At 41.1% G+C, this 1,797-nt stretch overlaps 1 annotated feature.

The window, feature by feature from the left end:
• Positions 576–776: a silencer, noted in NCBI's record as "peak1589 fragment used in MPRA reporter construct". NCBI's record gives its function as "represses an SCP1 promoter by STARR-seq MPRAs in K562 erythroleukemia cells {active_cell/tissue: K562}" and the evidence as "EXISTENCE:reporter gene assay evidence [ECO:0000049][PMID:32103011]".

Raw genomic sequence — 1,797 nt, 5'->3', positions numbered from 1 at the left:
TTTTATATTATAAGGAAAAATTTGAAAGACTTTAAAATGGGCAAAATTCTGTGTTCACTTGCTAAAAAAAGTGTTCTCATTGGCATACTCGATTTATTTAGAATTTGACATTTTGTTTTGTAGAGCTTTGGGATTTTTTTTATCCGTCCATGCATCCGTCTGTCCATCCATTCATGCAACCATGCTTTCATCCACGCATGCATGCATGTATCCATCCATCCATCCATGTATCCATCTATCCATCCATTCATCCATTCATCCATCCCTCCATCCAAATTGAGCACTTTCCATGTGCTAAGCACTGCCCTGAGTCCTAATGACACAAACAGTGAGTAAAACTGATAAAAAGCCCTGTTCCTATGGAGCTCACATTCTGGTGGATAAGGCCTTAAAAAACAAAGTGAAACAAATATGTGAAACATATAGAACATTACATAATAATGGGTGTTAAGAAGAAAAAACCCACAAGGAATAAGGTTAGTGACAGGGTTCCGAACACACTACCCCACAATATGGCGCTTTGGCACATTGAATATCTTAAGCTGAAGAAATGTGGGAAAGGCTCTTACTTTGCCTTCTCTTCTGAAGCATGTCTTAAGACCCTCTTGTGAGTGCCTTCCCTGGACCTGAAGGAAAGGAGAATCCTTATCTCTGAAGAAGGAAGACTGCTGAAAGGAATATGAATAAACAGATCTTGTTAAATTTCCTACAGCTTGCTATCCTGCAAGTCATACCCTTCTGTCCTATTGTAGCAGGACCAGCTGCAGACAAAACTCCTCAGACACAGAGTTGAAGAAGGAAGTGGTCTATTCAGCCAGAAGCATCAGGCAAGACTCCTGTCTCAAGAGCCGAGCTCCCCGAGTGAGCAATTCCTGTCCCTTTTAAGGGCTCACAACTCTAAGGGGGTCTGCATGAGAGGGTTGTGATCGATTGAGCAAGCAAGGGGGTACGTGACAGGGGCTGCATGCACCAGTGGTCAGAGTGAAACAACAGATCGGGAAGTCTCACAATGTCTTTTCTATACGATGTCTGGAATCTATAGATAACATAACCAGTTAGGTTAGGGGTCAATCTTTAACTACCAGGCTTAGGTCAGGCAGGCCCAGGCCTGGTTTCGGGTCTGGTTCCTCAGTTTCGAATCTGGTTCCTAGACCCTGGGCTACCTGCCTTTTGTTTCGCTTTTCTTTTCTTTTGAGTATAAAACAATATAAAACAATATGAGAGGGTCTGTCTCTCTTCTCTCACTATCATGTTTTTCCACAATGTTCCACTCTTCATCAAACCTAGTATAAAAATGCTTAGGCTTAACCACATAGTTGGGTCTTCATTTCCTTGTGAAGGCTCCAGTGTCCTGTAAAAATTATATTAAATAAATTTGTATGCTTTTCTCTGTTAACCTGTCTTTTGTTAGTCTAATTTACAGATTCCCAGCCAGACAACCTAGGAAGGTATGAGAAAAAGGTATCTTTTTCCTTCCTTACATTAGGAAGTGTGTATGTGTGAGTATGTGAATGTGTGTTCAGGTGGAGTGTGGTTGGTGAAATATTTTGATGAGGTGGCTGGAGAAGGCCTCACCTAGCAGGTGACATTAACTGTCCAGTCAGTCTTGAGGTCTAGACCTCTTCTGGCCCTCCCTCTTCTGTTTGTCATTTCTGTCCTTTTGGAGACAGGTGTTCTATGGACACTCATTTCACCAAATAAGGTGCTCAGAGTTCTGCAAACATGATTTTAAAATATTTTAGAAAGAAGTTGCTATTTTAGAATTCTTTTTACATTTTGAAACATTGTTTTGACACC

Source organism: Homo sapiens, chromosome 12 (genome assembly GCF_000001405.40).
Source record: "Homo sapiens chromosome 12, GRCh38.p14 Primary Assembly".
Taxonomy (NCBI): domain Eukaryota; kingdom Metazoa; phylum Chordata; class Mammalia; order Primates; family Hominidae; genus Homo; species Homo sapiens.
This window is presented reverse-complemented; position numbering and strand designations above follow the sequence as displayed.